The sequence below is a fragment of the Homo sapiens genome, chromosome 12 (genome assembly GCF_000001405.40).
Source record: "Homo sapiens chromosome 12, GRCh38.p14 Primary Assembly".
Taxonomy (NCBI): domain Eukaryota; kingdom Metazoa; phylum Chordata; class Mammalia; order Primates; family Hominidae; genus Homo; species Homo sapiens.
The window spans coordinates 77,241,148-77,261,606 of NC_000012.12; the positions used below are offsets into that span (position 1 = coordinate 77,241,148).

At 37.2% G+C, this 20,459-nt stretch overlaps 1 long non-coding RNA gene across 6 annotated transcripts in view; it reads right to left on the minus strand.

Annotated features, from left to right (window-relative positions):
• The window catches only part of LINC02464 (long intergenic non-protein coding RNA 2464), a 97,632-nt gene that overhangs the window by 21,545 nt on the left and 55,628 nt on the right, over positions 1 to 20,459 (minus strand). For 2 of the 6 annotated variants that reach the window (NR_187542.1, NR_187544.1), the window contains exon 3: positions 2,395 to 2,508. The exons of the other annotated variants lie outside the window; for them this stretch is intronic. This is a non-coding gene — a long non-coding RNA (long intergenic non-protein coding RNA 2464). The remainder of the gene's footprint in view (positions 1 to 2,394; positions 2,509 to 20,459) is intronic. 6 annotated transcript variants of the gene reach the window in all.

Below are 20,459 nucleotides of genomic sequence, written 5' to 3' on the forward strand. Positions count from 1 at the left end.
CATTTATAGGCAGATGACTTCCAAGTCTGTTATTGGAGCTCAGATCCTTCTCTTGAGCTACTCGGTCTATATACCCAACCATGGCAGCATCAGCAAAGATGGCTTAAAAACACAATTGTTGGGACTGAGCAGCAGCCATTGAAACAAATAGGGGGGTTTCCATTCACACAGGTGCCCACTTGGCCTCAACCATTTTCCAGCCCCAGGTCTAGGTGCAATCATCTCAGTGGGAAGAGTACAGACACTGGATCAGAGAGCTGGGTCAAATGATTTCTACTGCTTTTTAATTGTGTAAACTTGAGAAAGTTAACTCCAAGCAGACTTCATTTCCCCATCTTTAAGATAGAGATAGTGTATACTTTTAAGAATTTGTTATCTCGCAGCCTAATGTATGATTCTGGGATGTACATATGTTCTTGCTCTTTGTTAGATTTTATACATTTTCTTCTTGGAGTATTTTATTTTAAAGGGGGAAAGGGCTCCATACATACAATTATGACAATGTTAAGTGGTATTTTTCCAATATTTCATTTTAAATTACCTCTTCCCTACTGGTTTGATCCAGCTTGCTAGAACATGTATTGTAATGTCACCTTGGTAACCCAGCCTTCACTCCATTGGTTAGAATGTCCCAAGGTTGTCCATTATATTCCATCTCCTTTCTTACCCTCAAGAAAGCAAATGTCCACTATATTAGAATTAGCCTTTAACCCTTAACAATCTGTTACCCACATTTTAAAATTTGTTATGGGTTTTTTATTCCTAAACTGTTAAATAGACTTTTTTTTGCATGGAAGCAGATTTTTTTCCCCCACAGTTTTGCTCTGAAAGCCAAGCGTTTGTGGTCCATAGTTTTATGATCGAGAAGTATATTTCCTGTTGATAAAAGAAAGAATCCAAAGTTGCTTCCTTCCTTTCAGTATGCTTGCTTTAACAATTTAAGATGGGTAGGGAGATTGTCCCTCTGGAGTTGCTACTGTGCTCAAGCAATAAATAGATTGAAAAAAGAGGGTTTTAACCTGCCCTCTCCAATTGACATAAGCCAGATTTTTCTTCTTCTTACTACTCTGCCTTCTTAGGGAGTCTGGATTACCTGATCTCAGTTAAGAGATGATGATAGCCTTTCAGACCCTCAATATTAACTTTCCTGATGTCATTACTAAATCTGTTTGTTTGCTCTTATCCTAAGCTCTACAAAGCTGGGTGATCTACTGGTGTACATGATCTCTATCTCATTGCTCTTGAGAAAATCACTTTCTTCACTCACAGTTATTGGTATAATGAAAAATGGACATTAAACAAAATAAAAAATCAAGTTGAAAACAATGTTCCACTAGGATATGCCTCTGAATTACGTTAACATTATTAATATATCTATTCTCATTTCCTTGTAAATGTAGTCTACTCAGTGCTTTATTTCTAGTGATCTTTTCTTTTCCTAAATGAACATGTAAATTAAACTACATATATAATGGTCTCCAAATATGTATATATATGTATATATTTTTTTACCATTTGGTTACTTTAAATAGATATAAATTTGAAGCATAACATTGCTACTTGGTTGGATTAAATGTGATATTTCTTATACTCTAAGCCAGATTTTTTGTTTTGAAAAATTAAGTAGTACATAAAGGAAGTATAAGGCATACAAATGGCTAAGTATAAAATTGCTTTTGAAGTTTTCTGTATTATCGTGTCCTGTAATCTAGAGAAGAGAGTCAATGTGGAATCAGAGAAAGAGCATTGCTCTGTGAGTCAGCACATCTACAGTATCCCAGCTGGGCCATGCACCAGCTATGTGACCCTGAGCCATTCCAGTCACCTTCATAGGCCTCAGTGTCCTCACTAATAAAATGAGCATAGGCTGGCTGGATGTGGTGGCTTATGCCTGTAATCCCAGCACTTTGGGAGGCTGAGGCGGGCGGATCACTTGCGGTCAGGAGTTCGAGACCAGCCTGACCTACAGGTTGAAACCCTGTCTCTACTAAAAATAGAAAAATTATCTCGGCATAGTGACACGCACCTGTAATCCCAGCTACTTGAGAGGCTGAGGCAGGAGAATCTCTTGAACCCAAGAGGCAGAGGTTGCAGTGAGCCGAGATTGCACCATTGCATTCCAGCCTGGGTGACAGAGCAAGACTCCATCTCAATAAATAAATAAAAATAAAATAAGCATAGGCTAATAGCATATTTCGAGTTTACTGTAATAGTTATTATGAAGAACGAGCTAGTAGAACCGTAGAAAAATACTTCAACTTCAAAAAGAATTTGGAAAACTTGCAGAATTTCTTATAGAAACAATCCTTATTTCTATAAGGATGTTTGGCATAGGCCAGATGATATAATAAAGAGTTTTACAAGTCCAGAGAAGAATTATTATATAACCCTTACCATATAAGCTTCCTTATTGTTCAGAGGAACTGAATGTGTGTTGGAGCTAGCATATATGTCTTTTGCTTTCAGCATCTCAACTCTTCTCCGGCTTTAAGGAGTTTTCTTATAAACCTGTGAAACACAAAGCTATTGGCTACATTTGCTTTTCTACCATTGGCAGAAAATGCCCTTTCTGTTAGTTCTGTTTGTTGTCAGCATCGGCTGGAGAGAATTTCCTGTGTTTACTCTTTTCTTCTCTCTACACTTAACCTGTACTTGGAAGGCAGAATGATATTGTGAAAAGAGCACTAGACTGGTTGAGATCCTTGAAGTAGGTTCTAGACACAGTTCTATCAGTAACTAGCTCAGTAGCAGTTACACATCATTTAATTTATCTTTGCTTTATATTCGTAGAGTTGTAGAAGCTCCAGGTTTGAAAAGATAAACATCAACAATATAAGATAGTTGATTTTGGCCGGGCGCTGTGGCTCACGCCTGTAATCCCAGCACTTTGGGAGGCCGAGGCGGGCGGATCATAAGGTCAGGAGATCAAGACCATCCTGGCTAACACGGTGAAACCCCGTCCCTACTAAAAATACAAAAAATTAGCCGGGCAAGGTGGCGGGCGCCTGTAGTCCCAGCTACTCGGGAGGCTGAGGCAGGAGAATGGCGTGAACCCCGGGGGGCGGAGTGTGCAGTGAGCCGAGATTGCGCCACTGCACTCCAGCCTGGGCGACAGCGAGACTCCGTCTCAAAAAAAAAAAAAAAAAAAAGGTAGTTGATTTTACCTGTCCCTTAAAAAATAAAGACGTACTTAAATCTTTTAAACACCATCTCCAATGAAAGAATGTATAATAAAATAGACTTGGGAGTCAGAATTGAACTTAAATCCCTGTTTAGCTACTTACTACCTGTGTGACCTTGGGAAAATTATTTATATTCTCCATGCCCCAGGTTCTTCCCTCTAAAATGTAAATAATAATATGCCACATAAGGTTGTGATGAGGATCACATGAGATAATGCATGTAAAGCACTTAGTATGGGGCCTGACAAATGGTGAGATATTCAATAAATGGTTGATGATGACAATGGTGATGACGGTAATGATGATGGTAAAGAAAATAATAAAGATGATGTTGCTCAGACTCAATTTGAGCACTGATAGTGATGGACAACTATTACTATCTAAGATAGCACACTCTAATTTGTGAAATTATAATGGCTAGAAGTGTTTTCTTCTAGCTAACCAAAATTACATCTTCTTATCTCCAGATATTCTTTGTCCAAGTTCTGCCTTCTAGGATCATAACTGCCTTTTATACATTTGAAGATGGCTATCACATCCCCTACACTACCCGCCTGTTGTCATAACTCCCTTGATTGTTTTTCTTTTATTTTCTTCCTTCCAATTTCTTTCAATCAACTTCTATTTAACTATCGAATTCTTGTCATCGACCCCAAACCAACTCTTTTAATCAACATTGATATACTAAGATGTAGTAGTCTTCATTTCCAAGACACTTAGTAATTCTTCAGGTTAATATTCCTTTTCTGCATCTGAAGGAGACCAGAGGTCACTCAGGGCATGGGCCAGCCTTTATGTGTACCACAAATTCTGCTCATTTATTCTGCATCTGGGAGAAAACTCTATTTTATTTATGGTTACAGTGTACTTTACAAAGTTTATGGAGAATATAGGTTAGTAGTCCCAATCCAATGATGATTTTTAAATACAAACACTCATAACATTTTTAATTACCCTAAAGGGTTAGACTGGCTAATCAAATTTCATTTTAGTAACATCCCCCCTGAAAGTTGAGCCTTTTAAAATATTACACAACTCATCCAGAGAATAAGCCTGTGCAACAGAGAGACTGTAGTATTATTTTCTTCAACTTTACAGAGATATAAAACCAGAATTTTCTCAGGGACAATGACCAAATTGCTTCTAATTACAGGTATTTCCCAACCAACTGGCCAATGGATAGGTTTGTATATATCATGGCAGACTGGCCAATTTTGAAAACATATTCTCTCCTTTTATACAGAGTTGTCCTTTATACAGTTGAAGACAACTTTGTATCTCACTCATTTGCCTTGTATCATTGTACTTGCCTCATCCACCCTATCAGATCATAAGCTCTTGCAGGACAGAGAATTTCTCTTATTCTCCCTGGTGTGTCTTGTTCTGCCTAACATAGCACCCTGTTCCAAATGTCACTCAATAAATCTTGTTGAATGGAATTGAAATAAGGACTATAAAAGCTGAGTGAACAGGTGAGTTTAGTTCTGAAGGAGACAGAAGATACATATAGCCATATGGTGACATTGTATATTCTGAAGTTTTAAGAAATTTATATTCAAGTTTCCAATTTCTATTATTCATTTTCATCAGTTGCTTATAGATGGGTCAATTTTGATCATAGTAAGGGTCAAAATAATTCTCTAAATTATGTTAGAATTAAACATTTATTACCATTAAAGATAATTGAAATGCAATAATTATAATTGCATTTTTCACTTTTGTTTTCTTCACCCATTATTAGTGGTGATTATAGCATTGCTTAGGAATCAAAGATGACTAGTATTGATTCTTGTTGACAAAATTTCATTCAACCATTTGTTTCAACATTTATAGAAATACTTATTGAAAAGCCAGTCCCCCAAATGGATGTTTTAAGTATGTGAATAATTCTTCTCAGCTCTTCTGCACTAATTGTGCTATGATCTTTTTTTAATCCCTGTGATATTGTAATAATCCATAGTAAATCACACTTACACTCTTTTCTGTCTTAAAAGCAGGTAATTAAAGTAGGATATGACAGAGTGAGACAGAAAGAGAGAGAGAGAGAGACAGAGAAAGGGGGAAAGAGACACATACAGAGAGAAGGGAATTGGTCTCCACTTTTTCCTTTAATCCACATTCTGCCCAACACCTTCCTGCCATCAGGGATCAATTTGTCATCCCTTCAGACTGAGCTCCAGGCAGGATTGATTCTGAGAATTAATAATTGCTTGGATGATCTGGTTCAGGATCATTTTTCATCAGCACCTCTCAGAGGCTGGCTTATTCTATTTATTCAACATTCAACAATATATATTAAACACCTACCATGTATCAGACACTGTGCAACTTTAGGAAACAGGAACCTTTCTGTAGTGTGCCTGTATAATTTTTGGCTGCCCAGTATCCCTTTACAACTCTCAACAGCATCGTAATGTTTTGGGGGCACCATCTCTCTCTCATTTGTGTAGCTTTGCAGGGCAGAAGAGTCTAGGTGGGTGCCTCTTACCAGAGAGCTCAATGGGACTAGAGACTCTGAAGAAGGCATACAACCTCTGTTCAACCAGTCGCAAGGTCTTTACTGGTCTTTTGAATCTTCAGTAATTGAACTAAACACAGGAGTGACCTTGGCGTTCACTCATTGCAGCAGTGGTATGATGACGTGAATGTCCATAATATGAAGCCACTGCTAAAGTTTCTCTTTCTCGGCCCTCCATACTCCCTTTCCTGTCCAGAACAGAGCCTGTACCTCTGACTTTCTGTCAGTTCTATGAATATATTAATTCGCTCCCATATTCTTCTAATACATTTCCTGTGTTTAAGTTAGGCAGAATTTGTTTCGGCCAAGGGCACTCAGTGATGCACCTTGGCCCACAGCTAGTGACCATTCCAGCATCCCAAAAACTCCAAGGACCAGGCATTGTTTAGATTAGCTGAAACTATTGAAGTTCACCTGGTTTGTATTCATATCTGAGCCCACCCAAATTGTCCTAGACTCTGGGTGGTGAGAGCTCAGAGCTTTACATGCTATTTCATTGACATCATATGAAAATTTAGGCCATTACTTATTTTCAGCAAAGAAGATAAAAAGGAGCTCTGTGTCATAAACAACTACCAGCAGAGGGAAGGAGGGAGAGATGAGGATATACCTTACAGGCCTGTGCCAAAGGAAAGAGCAGCAAAACCTAGCTCAGCCCCAGGATGAGAGAGGCCATAGGAAGTGAACACAGATATCCCAATATTTTCCAGATAAGAAAGAGAGAAAACGGGAAAATGAAATTCCCACAGGTTTGAGAGGGTTGTGTGGGAATGTAAAGGAGATAACTGCCAACATTCAGTGACATGCTCCAGGCCTTATCCCAGGGGAACCCATGAGACTAATCGTGCTTTCTCAGGAACACTCACGTCCACAAATCTTGGCTCCACTTATCTGCCCACACACATGCTGGAAGGCCATCTTTGTCCCAGGCCAGATCCTAGAGGGTTTATAGGACAGGGTTATCCATGCCTCTGTGTGTGTGTGTGTGTGTGTGTGTGTGTGTGTTGTGAGTGTGTAAGGAGAGAGACACACACACAACTAAGTTCTAACTTTGTCAGGACATCTTCTTGTTAGAGAGAAAACCCTCTTTGGAATGTCTTATTCAGTCTCCCTAAATCTCCTCTTCCCCTCGGCCCCTCCTATTATCTACATGTTTACTCTCCCTGCTCCTCCAAACCCAGTGTAATGGGCGCTTCTTTAACTGTGCATTTTGATCCTGTCTCCAGACCTTTCCTTTACCCTTTTTTGGGGGGGGGGGACTTAGATATACACAATCCTTCTTATTTCTTCTGCAAACTGAATAATTATCCTAGTGTTTTGTTCAGTAAGAAAGCTATTCTGGAAATCTAATTTTCCTTCCAAGAGTTGCATAACAAATTTGGGAGCTTCAAACATCTGTAATCCTAAGAAAATTTTAGGGATTTTTTATAAACCCCAAACTCAGACATACACAATTTTAAAAACCATAAAGTAAGTTTGCAAAGTGAATGTCTTCTCATTCTAGGTATTTTTATCTCTCCAGTACAGTTTCGCAGGAGTGTTTCCTTACTAGTCTTTTCAAAGTACTTCTTGCAGTTACTGATTTTCAGGCTTAGTGTCTTTTCAAAGATGCTTTTCTGGGGACTGTTGATTTCAGGCTGTTTCAACTGCATGAGTTATGCAAGTGTGATAACTTTTTCTCCTTCTAAAAAGAGATGCTTCAGCCTATTTTTTTGTGCTCATAATAAAAGCAAAAGATAAAGACCAGCGTTGGGGATTAGTGTAGACTTTGCAGAGATAGGAAGAGCTAAGAAAATTTATATCCCAAATCAATAGCACAATCAAAGCTAGGAATAGAGGACGGATGATAAAAATGAAGCTTCAAGTTAGGCAAATAATTACATCTTTATTGCATTTATAATTACATTTTTATTAACATTACCCTTTTATTTGCTTCTTCAGATATTTAGGGAAACACAAAAAGTTATTCTGACTTTAGGAGTAAGAAGTTATGTAAGATCTAGCTAATACAATGTGTCTGCTGCATGAAACAAGTATTTATTGAATTTTGAAAGTTCTCTTTTTGTCAAGTGATATTAGTTCCCCAGTAAGTGTGTTGCACTGTGGACTCTTGCTGAGTTTGAGAAATTTAGAATCTAAGGGGAATTTAAAATTTAACTCCTATTTTTAAATACAATCTGTGCATGTGTATATATATACATAAACACATATTTAAATAAAACCATAAACATATCTGAGGTTAAATACACATAAAGCAAAATTTGATGAATTTCTATGCATCACTGAATTCCCTGTTGTCTCTTGGAAGTAAAGTGTCTGTTTCTAATAAACTTATTGATATGAATGCCAAATGAAACAAAATGTCATAGGCAAGACAAAGAACTGATTGAGGAGTTGGTTGACTGTTTACCAGTGTGTTTTTTTTTTTTTTTTTATCTCCAGTATTACTGCTATTAATGAAGAACATGTGTCCTCTCACACTTGATTGTGGGAAACTTTATTACTAGAGGTAGAAAGAGCATAGAGATGTACCTCTGAGCATGGCTTCCCTCTTCTCTGTTGACCAGCAGAACTAATCTCTTGGTTTGTCTCTTTTCCATGGTAGCCCTGACAAAGTGGGCTATAACCCTCCATAAATCATGGGATGATTGTAGTTTTACAATCAAGGTCTGTATCAGGTAAGACTCATTCAGCAGCAAGTAATACAATTCTCAACTAACAGAGACTTCTAAAATAAAGATTTTTAATTTTAAAATAAAGGACTTCTCACTTCTCACAGAGTGAGAAATCTTAGAGTAGATGGTTCTAGATTTGGTACAGAAACCCAAAGTTCATATCAAGGAACCAGCACTTTTCTATCTTTCTGCTCTCTCATCTTCAGTTTTTTTATGTTTTAGTCTTCAAGTTACAAAGTGGCACTGAGGAAGCATTACGGCCTCTGGCCACCGTGTTTGATTCAGTGAATACCTGGAGGAAAAGGGCTTTTGTGTGTGTGTTAGGAAAACAAGTCTTTCCCAGAAGATCCTTATTAGACTTCCTTTTGTGGCTCATAGGCAAGAATTGGGTCACATGTTCCTCTACTCTCATAGCTGCCTGGAATACTGGCAAAAAATGATTAACTAGCAAAGGATAGGGCTGCTATGATTTGCTTAGACAAACCAGGAGTCATCTTTACAGGCTGGGCACATCGACTCCCTTCCACGCTACAACATTGGCAGGAAAAGCGGGAAAGGCTGTTGCGCAATTAAGTTTTCCAATTTCCCAGGCTGTGACTTCCATGACATCTCCCTCAGTCTCCTGTGACTCTGCAGTGGGCATCCTCAGAACCTGACTCTTGCTTCACCTTGGGTTCTAGCCCTCCAAGCAAAAAACCTCCCAATCATCGATTCATAGAGAAAGGCAGCTTATTTCTTGTGACTAGGTCTAACTTACCATCCCAAGGTTTGTCACATATAATTCACAGCTTCATATTTCTGTGCTTCTCCAGCTATTTTTAAATTTTAAACCTAAGAGGTTCCAGCTTCAAAATATGCCTTTATTGGGCTGAGTACCGTGGCTCACGCCTGTAATCCCAGCACTTTGGGAGGCCAAGGCGGGTGGATCACCTGAGGTCAGGAATTTGAGACCAGCCTGGCCAACATGGCGAAACCCCCATCTCTACTAAAAACACCAAAATTAGCCTGGCGTGGTGGTGGGTGCCTGTAGTCCCAGCTACTTGGGAGGCTGAGGTAGGAGAATCGTTTGGACCTGGAAGGCAGAGGTTACAGTGAGCCAAGATAGCACCACAGCACTCCAACCTGGGCAACAGAGTGAGATTCCATCTCAAGAGAAAAAAAAAAGAAAAAAGAAAAAAGAAAAAAATGCCTTTATCCTTTTTTCCCTCCACTATGGTTGCTTTTATCTGGGTACGAAATAAAAGGAGATACAAGTCTGTTGCTTATCTTCTCTAATTTCTGGACCCATAAGCCTCTGCCAGAGGATAGCTTGTGATGTATGGCATCTATGTTCCCTTGTTTCTGCTATTAAATACGCTGCTGGCTGTTCTACCTCTCCCATAAATGTTTAACTAATGTGTATAATGGTTCTTTCAGAATGGGTTTTTCATTATGGAAGTTATTTTTCACCAAAGGTGTGTCACTATTTCTAGAATAGTATTTTAGTATGTTTTAAACTCAATTTTTGTACTAGTTTCTTCACAGAAGAAAGGGGGTAGTTTTTAGACATTTTACATAATTTATATGTTGGAAGGTATGCAACTATTCATTTAGACTTTATTTACACTTAACAACTGATTTGAAAACAATTGAAAATGCAGATAAACTGGTGTTATTTATGTTCATGTTTGAGCATACTAGGTGATGTTTACAAGTCAGAAATTTACCCTCAAAATAATATTGTTGTTACAGATAATGAACAATATTGAATACTCCTGCAATCCAAGATGAAGAAAAATGAAGTTAATGAAATTAATTTCTCAGTTTTGAAACAGTTGCTTCTTTTAGTTTTTTTTTAATATTAGAGGTCTTTTTATGTGGAGTTTAATTTTTCTTTCTTCTCCCATTTTTAGTCATCTTTAATTTAGCAATAATTGCTAAATGAGTAATTGTCACAATAAATTGCCCCATTGTCTTGATCATCTAAAATCCAATACAGGTGTCAATTGGTTCACAATAGGGAGGTTCAGAAAGTGGCTAGTGTTGAAGAGAGAAATATGACTATAGAGGAAGAGCCCAAATTGCCCACTATAAAAATTTAACTTAATATTTTTAAAAATTAAAGCTCTTGTAATATGGGGAGGGCCCATCTGTATCCCCTATTACTCCACAAAGGAAGCACTCAAAAATACCTCCAGAAAGGAAAGAAAGATAACAGTTATGCTTCCTTGGGCCTGAAGTCTTGTCTGGCAGATCTTTATAATGAAATGAAGGCGGAGACAACAAGTCATTTTTTTTTAATTTGCTTCATTTTCTTAAAAGCCATATACCCCAAGATACCATAGAACCGAGTAAAATAGCTTAGATACTGATTGAAAAGGCAGACTCAGAGTCTAGAAATGCAAAATAACAACCCATATGCCAAACCACTTGCATTGTAAGGCTGGATACTTCTGAAGGAAGATTTTAAAGGCGACAGAGAATTCCAAATTTGGAACCCACAGAGACATCTGGTATCTTAGAACTTTCCATTTTCCTTTGGCAGATATTTCAGTGAATTTCCCACCTTGGTCAGAGTGTATAATTATTTTTTAAGCTTATTCTAATTTTAACATATTCTATTTCACTGTTACTGTGAAATGGCCCTACTGTCAGGACCAACCATTTAATTTTAACACTTAGGTCATTTAGCAATTTCTTAGAAGAGCCAAATAAGGGGGTGGAATTTAATTAACACAATAGGTACACTATTGACTTTTGTGGGTATTTGTGGCATTTATGTATATTTCCAACTTTTGGTCTTCAAACAGATGCATGTGAAATAAATAACAGATGAATCAAAATACAGAAATGGCATTGCATTCCAAATGGCAATGTTCATCATCAGTGCTCATGAAGTGGCTCTACCAAAACGGTCTTAAAAGGTATCATCATGATAACACTTGCTTCTTGCAAACCATTTGTTAATGGCTGGTCTGTGTCTACTTGAAGTATTCATTAGTTTGGATCCACATTTGCCCAATGTGGGTAGTAGGATGGGATGGGAACTTGAGGAGATTGATGAGGCTTTATTACTGTGAAGAAATGTACTAACACGTGCATACAAGGATTACTGAGCAGCAATGAGGGCTCAGTTGAAATTGCATAGTATGGATATTTAATAGTGTCAACCATATCGATTTAATGACTCAAACAGTATCATAGAATTGTGTCCATTTTAGAGTGGAAAGGGATCATCTTATCCAACTCTCTCAATTGGCAAGTGGGAAAACTGAGGCATAAATAAGCTAAGTAAGTGGCCCAAGTCTACATAGTAAATGGCAGGGCAATTCTAATTTCTAGACCTAAATGTAAGACCTGAAACAATAAAACTCCTAAAAGAAAACATAAGGGAAATGGTTCAGGACATTGGTCTGGGAAAATATTATATGAATAAGACCTCAAAAGCACAGGCAACAAAAGCAACAATAAACAAATGAGATTATATCAAGCTAAAAATCTCTGCACAGCAAAGGAAACAATCAACAGAGTGAAAAGACAACCTCCAGAAGGGGAGAACATATTCGTAAACTACTAAGCTGACATAATTAGTATGTAGATACTATACATGTCTACATATCTAATATGTTCAACAGCAAAAAAGCAAGGTGATTAAAAAATGGGCAAATGATCTGAACAGACATTTCTCAAAAGAAGACATACAAATGGCTAACAAATATATGAACGAATGCTCAATATCACTAATCATTGGGGAAATGCAAATCAAAACCACAACGAGGTATCATCTCATCCCAGTTAAGATAGCTATTATCAAAAAGACAAAAAGTAACAAATGCTGACAAGAATGTGGAGAAAAGGGAACTCTTATAAACTGTCATTGTTAATGTAAACTAGTACAGCCACTATAGAGAGCAGTATGGAGGTTGCCCAAAAAACGAAAAATAGAACTAACCATATGATCCAGTAATTCCACTACTGGGAATTCATCCAAAGGAAAGTAAATCATTATATTGAAGAAACAACTGCACCCCTGTGTTTATTGCAGCACTATTCACAATAGCCAAGATATGGATTCAACGTAGGTGCCCAACAGCAGATGAATAGATAAAGAAAATGTGATATATAATCACAATGGAATACTATTCAGCCATATGAAAGAATGAAATTCTGTCATTTGTTGCAACATGGATGGAAATGGGGTACATTATGTTAAGTGAAATAAGCCAGGAACAGAAAGTTAAACACCACATGTTCTCACTCATCTGTGAAAGTTAAAAAAAGTTCATTGCATAGAAGTAAAAAGTAGAACAGAGGATACTAGAGGCTGGTAAAGGTAGGGGGAAGGGAGGAATAGGGAGATATTTCTTTGAAGGGTGCAAAATTACAGCTAGATAGGAGGAATAAGTTCTAGTGTTCTATAGTGCTGTAGGATGAGTATAGTTAAAAATAATGTATTCTATAGCTTCAAATGGCTAGAAGGAGGATATTGAATAGTCCCAGCACAAAGAAATGATAAAAGTTTGAAATGATAGGTATGCTGATTACCCTGATCTGATCAGTATATATTATATGTATTGACACATCACTATGTACTCCATGAATATGTACTATTATTATTTGTCATTTTTAAAAAAATAAAAAATAATGAATATTACGTTAGAAAGACACGGTGGCCATACAATATTCAAAGATGTTTGAAAAATCTAGGCTTGCAGAACTATAGATTGGTCCCGCTGGAACTTTCTCTATTAGTGAATTTCACTGACAGTATACTTACGCTTCTTATTCAAAAGGAAGCACAGCATAAAGTTACTGGTATTCAGATTCCCTCATTTTATCATTAGTAAAGCAAAAGTAATAAATTGTTTCTTAGGCAAAGTAGGTTAAAGAATTATTGGTCTTTTTATTCTTCTGCATTTTTTATGGGGTAAATTCGCAATTAGTAAGGATTATTAAAGTCTCAAATTGCCAGTTTGGGGGCTGAAAACTGCTAGGAGCCCTGCTATATTTGCTTTGTTTTTTTGAACCTCCTGAAGTTGTAATAAGGCTTTATAATTTGGCAAGTGTAATGGCTGGTCAAAATACAACCACTTAGTGCCTCTTACCTTACATCTGTCCCTGTTCATACTTTTATATCACCTGTTTGGCTCTGGTGTATACTTAGAGACAGTCTAGTGTGACTGATCCTTTGATATAAAACCTAGTTTATTTCCTAGAATGAGATATCCTGTGGGCTAAATAAAGTGAAAACAATGATGGTAATCAATGCTATATTAAGACATGACTCAGAGACTCCCTTGTAGTAGCACTTAATATAGAAAGATGTTTTAAATATGGAAAATATTTTACAACATAGATAGCCCATTCAATATCCCTTTAATTAAAAATTTAAAAATTTATTCATCATTTCTGGATATTGTGATCATAAACCTTTTTATATATTTTATGTGTATATTTCAAAATGTCTACAAAAATAAGTCACATTTTAAGAAAAATACAAATGTCCTTTTTACTCAAAGAATAGCCAAGTAACCGTAAAAATTAAAGCATAAAAAAGAAGTCTCCTTATTCAATGTAACAAAGTTAAAACATATTGTGGCTTAGAGGATTTGGATGTTTTTAAAAGGAGGATGGTGGTAGAAGTAAACTTTTATACTTTCCTGATTGGTGTTACAGAGAATAATGAGAAGAGATAACAAGTAAGAAAATACATAAACAAAATTACAATAGAAATGATTTTAAGGATAATAAGCATTCAAATGCTATTGTCATCTATAATGATAAGGTACCTCTTTTTTAATGTGGCAACTGAGTTGATACTGAACTTTCAACACACAGGGAGTACAAATAACCTAACCATCAGATGGAAGAATTAAACAGAATAATAATACTTTACATTTATGAAGCATTCTCTTGCGTTTATTTCCTCACATAGAATAGTTTACGCAGACTGTGTTTTTATAGGTCGTAACTGATTTAATACTTACGGTGTTATAAGATGAGCAAGGCAGTCATTTTTTATGCCCATTCAATACAGAAGAGGAAACATACTCCAAGAGGCAAAATGATTTGCTCAGGCTGAGATGGTGGCTTGGTGTCTTTTCATAGCTTGATGGTAAAATACCTGTTTGTCGAGCTACATCTTTGTAGATGGATTTAATTTTTGCCCTTGTGTAATCTCTTCTTGTCCACTGAAACATTACCCTTGCTCTTGATGTAGTTATGTTTCTAAACACTAATTTATTATTCAAACTCTTTTGATAAAAAGAAAAGGCTATGTTTAAAATATTTTAACAATCAGAATAATATGGGTAGTAACCAATCTGAATGGTTGCTGGATCAGGCACTGCTTCATCAGGATGTCCCACAATCAAAGGTCATGGCCGTATGGGTGTGTATCAGCTGCAGATAAGTGCTGTGACAGAAAACCCAGCTCACACTGTTTTAGGGAATTCAGGAGAATTTTTTGACATACATAACTGAGCTGTCCAGATATGTCCTTATTTAGACACAACAGGAATCAGGGGTGCAAATGATGTTACGTCTTTCTCCACCTCTTAGTTCTTTTCTCTGCACTGACTCCATTTTCAGGAGGCCTTTCCCTCCCTGTGGTACAAGGCGACTTACGGTGGCTCCGAATGAATTTACATCCTGTTTCCTTGGCAAAAGTGAGTGTCTCTCTATTGGTTGCCTCGGCCAATGCCTTGGACAACTTTAAATTGGCTGTGATTGTTGTAAGCACTGGGGATGGCAGTCATCTCCACCCAAACTGTTAAACTAGAAATGGAGGAGGAGAGCTCCTGAAGGAAAACCTGTGGCTGTAACCCAGAGAAGGGAGAAAAGCGACAGGCAACGACTATAAATGTCTGCTCTACTATCTCTTTCATCAGAACTTTCATACAACTTTATTACGTTAAATACTTTTTTAAATTATAAAATAAAGGTATTCTCATTTGGACAATTTTAAAGATGAAGTAAAATATAAGAACAAAATCTATAAAGAAAAATGTAAAAATAAGACATGCAGTTGAGTTGGAATTAAGGGTTTATTTCTAATTCATTATGACACTGAAGCGCAGCCTGTGGAATAGAAGTTTTCCTAGGATCATTTACTAGGTTCCTAACTCCGAGAGGCCCAAGACTCTACCTTGTGTTCTCAGATAATCTCACGCAGAATTGAAGTGAAATCACAGCTTGTCTAGAGGAACAGCAGAAATCTTCAGGGCAATAGCTGCTGGTTTTGGTGTCACTCTCCTTGTAGGGTTTCAATGTTCAATGAGTTTTGAAGACCTGCAGATTCTTTGCTTTTGTGCTAGTGCGAGAATGTGCTCAAATATTTTCTTTATATTGTATCCAGCATTTAGTTGTTTCAATCAGTGGATCATTTAGTGTATGGAATCTGCCATAATGTTAAAAAATAAGGTGATCTTTTGTTCTTTTGTCTTGTTTGCTGTTCTATCTTTTATTCCTGACCTATTTCAAACATAGTTATTTCATAGTTTATATCCAGTAATTCTGATATCTGAAATTCTTGGCAGTCTAATTCCGTATGGTGCTGTTGTTTCTGTTGACCCTTGTCTGGGTGAGTCTTGTTTTTTCATGTATTTTGCAAGTTTGGATTGTGAAGTCATGGTTACTGGGACTTTGTATGTGAGAATCTTGGGAGGAAGCCATCCTACATGGAAGATTAAGACTTGCCTTTGTCAGGAAGCTCAGCCTTTTTTCATTCTGGGACCACTTTAAGCTAATGTGTTGGTTTGGGGTTTCTGGGATGACACATGTTGCATAAAATCAAATAGCCTTCCCAGGTCTGTGATGTGGTCCCAGCTGCAACTCCTGCCTTGCCAGGTCACAAGGCCTTTCTTGTTTCCTGTTGCTCCAGTGGCCACTAACACCTGAACCTCTTGGTTTCAAGATTAGGAAAGGCTCCAAGATCAGCCATGGCTTTAGCATCAGTCCACTTGCCACCCTCCCTTCCAGCAATCTGGTCTGTTTAGCTTTCTATTTCCCTTCAATTTCTCCTTGTTTATTTCCTTTCCCTTTTAAATTTTAGAATGAACAGATTTATCTGTTCAATTCCTCTCATCCGAGTATCAGCTCTTAGACTCTAATTTTTATCCTATTGTTCTGCTGTATTTTGAATAATTTATTTCTGCTTTTAGTTTTACTTTTTAAAAATTCTGCTCTCCACTGGTTTGTTTTATTGTTATCTTTGTTGTTATTCTTTGTTTTTCTTATTTATTTTCTTCAGGTTTTCATTTGCAAGTTTTCTGTGTCTTTCTCTTTTGTATGTCTTATGTTAGCATGTACTGGACATTTTTAGTTAGCATATATTATATATTTCTAAGTTAATTCAATAATAAATGTATGTTATAATAATAAAAGATGAAAACATAATAAGTGATAAAAAATAAGTGACAGTAAAAAAAATAAAAGATAAAAAGGGACAAATCATAAAACCTACTCTCATTGAAGGAGGAAAAAAGATTCATTATCTACAAATAGTAGATATAATATTCAAGAAATTTAAACTATTTATATATATATATCTGATATATTTCTTCCTTTCTGTCATTCTTTTTGTTGCCTTATTTATTTTGTTTTCAGACTTTTGCTATGTAGTTTAACTATTTAGACTATATTTTGTGACTGACAAGAATATGAACATTAAAAAATATATCACCTTGACATTTGAAAATAAAGATTTTTACATGGTTAACTCTATAACTATTTGTTCGAGCCAATTAATTGTATTATTTATTTTCTATCTTTTTTAATATATCAAAGGTAGAAAGAAGTATATTTTAAAAAGTCTCTCTCAACAACTGTATTTTTGTCTTTTTTTCTCGTATTTCAACTACTTGTGTGTGTGTGTGTGTGTGTGTGTGTGTGTGTGTGTGTGTGTATGGGGTTATACCATGCAGTCTGTTAAGGTTCATTATTTTCAAATCTTTATGGAGTATTGTGCCTTTTAATCATCTAAATCTTGAATTACATAGTATGTTACCTAAACCAATTATTCAATTTCTATTTATAGACAATTATAAATGTTTGAAGTAAATCTTTTAATTTTTCCCTATGAAAAATGGGGACTTCAAACCACTTTTACTTACTTTCATTCATTTAATCAAAAAATAATTGTTGATACATATCATATTTCTCTAGGCACTGTTAAAGTTGTAAAAAATAAAGATAAAAGTCCTTACCTTCTTGGAGCTTAATTCTAATGGGGGAAACAGGAAATAAAACAAAGTAATAAAACAGGTAAATAAAACAAACTTTCATGGATTTAAAGAAATACATTTTTTTTTGGCCACAACTTATCATCTTTGAGATAAGGATGCCTCTTAATAACTGATGATATATCATAGTTTAGTTGGACATGTCTTCTTTGGTATAATATTTTTAAAATGGTAAGCCTTGTAATTAGTGACATCTTAAATGAAATATCGTAGTGTGTCGAATAAATGTTATGGGGAAAATGAGGCATATAAGGGGGATGGGAATTTCTGGATAAGTTTTGCATTAAACATATTTTGATTGATCTATAATATTTGTACATATTTTGGGGGTACATGTGATATTTTGATAACTGCATGCAATGTATAATGATTATATCAGGTTAGCTGGGCTATCCATTACCTTGAACATTTATCATAAATATTTCATTTTTAATAGGATGGTCAAGGGATGTTTTCCTGAGAAGGTAACTTTGAACAAAGACCTAGAGATGAGAGACTGAGTAGGACCATAGTATTAGTCCGTTTTCATGCTGCTGATAAAGACATACCTGAGACTGGGCAATTTACAAAAGAAAGTGGCTTAAGGGACTTACAGTTCCATGTGACTGGGGAAGACTCACAATCATGTTGGAGAGCAAGGAGGAGCATGTCAGGTCTTACATGGATGGCAGCAGGCAAAGAGAGAAAGCTTATGCAGGGAAACTCCCCCTTATAAAACCATCAGATCTCGTGAGACTTATTCACCATCATGAGAACAGCACAGGAAAGACCTGCTCCCATGATTCAATTGCCTCCCACCAGGTGCCTCCCATGACACATGGGAATTCAAGAAGAGATTTGGGTGGGGACACAGCCAAACCATATTATTCTGCCCCTGCCCCTCCCAAATCTTATGTCCTCACATTTCAAAACCAATCATGCCTTCCCTTCAGCCCCGCAAAGTCTTAACTCATTTCAGAATTAACTCAAAAGTTCACAGTCCAAAGTCTCATCTGAGACAAGAGCCTGTAAAATCAAAAGCAAATTAGTTACTTCCTAGATGCAATGGGGATACAGGCATTGGGTAAATACAGCCATTCCAAATAAGAGAAATTGGCCACAACAAAGGGGCTACAGGCCCCATGCAAGTCCAAAATCCAGTAAGGCAGTCAAATCTTAAAGCCCCAAAATGATATCCGTTGACTCTATGCCTCACATCCAGGTAACGCTGATGCAAGAGGTAGGCTCCAAGGCCTTGGGCAGCTCTGCTCCTGTGGCTTTGTAGGGTATAGCCCCGCTCCTGGCTGCTGTCACAGGCTGGCATTGAGTGTCTGTGGCTTTTGCAGGCTGTCAGTGGATCCTCCATTCTGGGGTCTGGGTGATGGTGGCCCTTTTCTCACAGATTCACTAGGCAGTGCCCCAGTAAGGACTCTGCATGGGGGCTCCCACCCCACATTTCCCTTCTGCACTATCCAAGCAGAGGTTCTCCATGAGGATCCTGCCCCTACAGCAAACTTCTGCCTGGGCATCCAGGCATTTCCATACATCTTCTGAAATCTAGGCAGAGGTTCCCAAACCTCAATTCTTGACTTCTGTGCACTTGCAGGCTCAACACCACATGGAAGCTGCCAAGGCTTGAGGCTTGCCCCCTCTGAAGCTGTGGCCTGAGCTCTGTGTTGTTCCCTTTCAGCCATGCCTGTGACACAGGGCACCAAGTTTCTAGGCTGCACACAGCATGGGGACCCTGGGCCTGGCCTGGGCTCTTTTTTGGTTCCATATGAACTTTAAAGTAGTTTTTTCCAATTCTGTGAAGAAAGTCATTGGTAGCTTGATGGGGATGGCATTGAATCTATAAATTACCTTGGGCAGTATGGCCATTTTCATGATATTGATTCTCCCTACCCATGAGCATGGAATGTTCTTCCATTTGTTTGTATCCTCTTTTATTTCATTGAACAGTGGTTTGTAGTTCTCCTTGAAGAGGTCCTTCACATCCCTTGTAAGTTGGATTCCTAGGTATTTTATTCTCTTTGAGGCAATTGTGAATGGGAGTTCACTCATGATTTGGCTCTCTGTCTGTTATTGGTGTATAAGAATGCTTGTGATTTTTGCACATAGATTTTGTATCCTGAGACTTTGCTGAAGTTGCTTATCAGCTTAAGGAGATTTTGGGCTGAGATGATGGAGTTTTCTAGATATACAATCACATCATCTGCAAACAGGGACAATTTGACTTCCTCTTTTCCTAATTGAATACCCTTTATTTCTTTCTCCTGCCTGATTGCCCTGGCCAGAAATTCCAACACTATGTTGAATAGCAGTGATGAGAGAGGGCATCCCTGTCTTGTGCTGGTTTTCAAAGGGAATGCTTCCAGTTTTTGCCCATTCAGTATGATATTGGCTGTGGGTTTGTCATAAATAGCTCTTATTATTGTTAGATACATCCCATCAATACCTAATTTATTGAGAGTTTTTAGCATGAAGGGCTGTTGAATTTTGTCAAAGGCCTTTTCTGCATCTATTGAGATAATCATGTGGTTTTTGTCTTTGGTTCTCTTTATATTCTGGATTATGTTTATTGATTTGCATATGTTGAACCAGCCTTGCATCCCAGGGATGAAGCCCACTTGATCATGGTGGATAAGCTTTTTGATGTGCTGCTGGATTCGGTTTGCCAGTATTTTATTGAGGATTTTTGCATCGATGTTCATTAGGGATATTGGTCTAAAATTCTCTTTTTTTGTTGTGTCTCTGCCAGGCTTTGGTATCAGGATGATGCTGGCCTCATAAAATGAGTTAGGGAGGATTCCTTCTTTTTCTATTGATTGGAATAGTTTCAGAAGGAATGGTACCAGCTCCTCTTTGTACCTCTGGTAGAATTCGG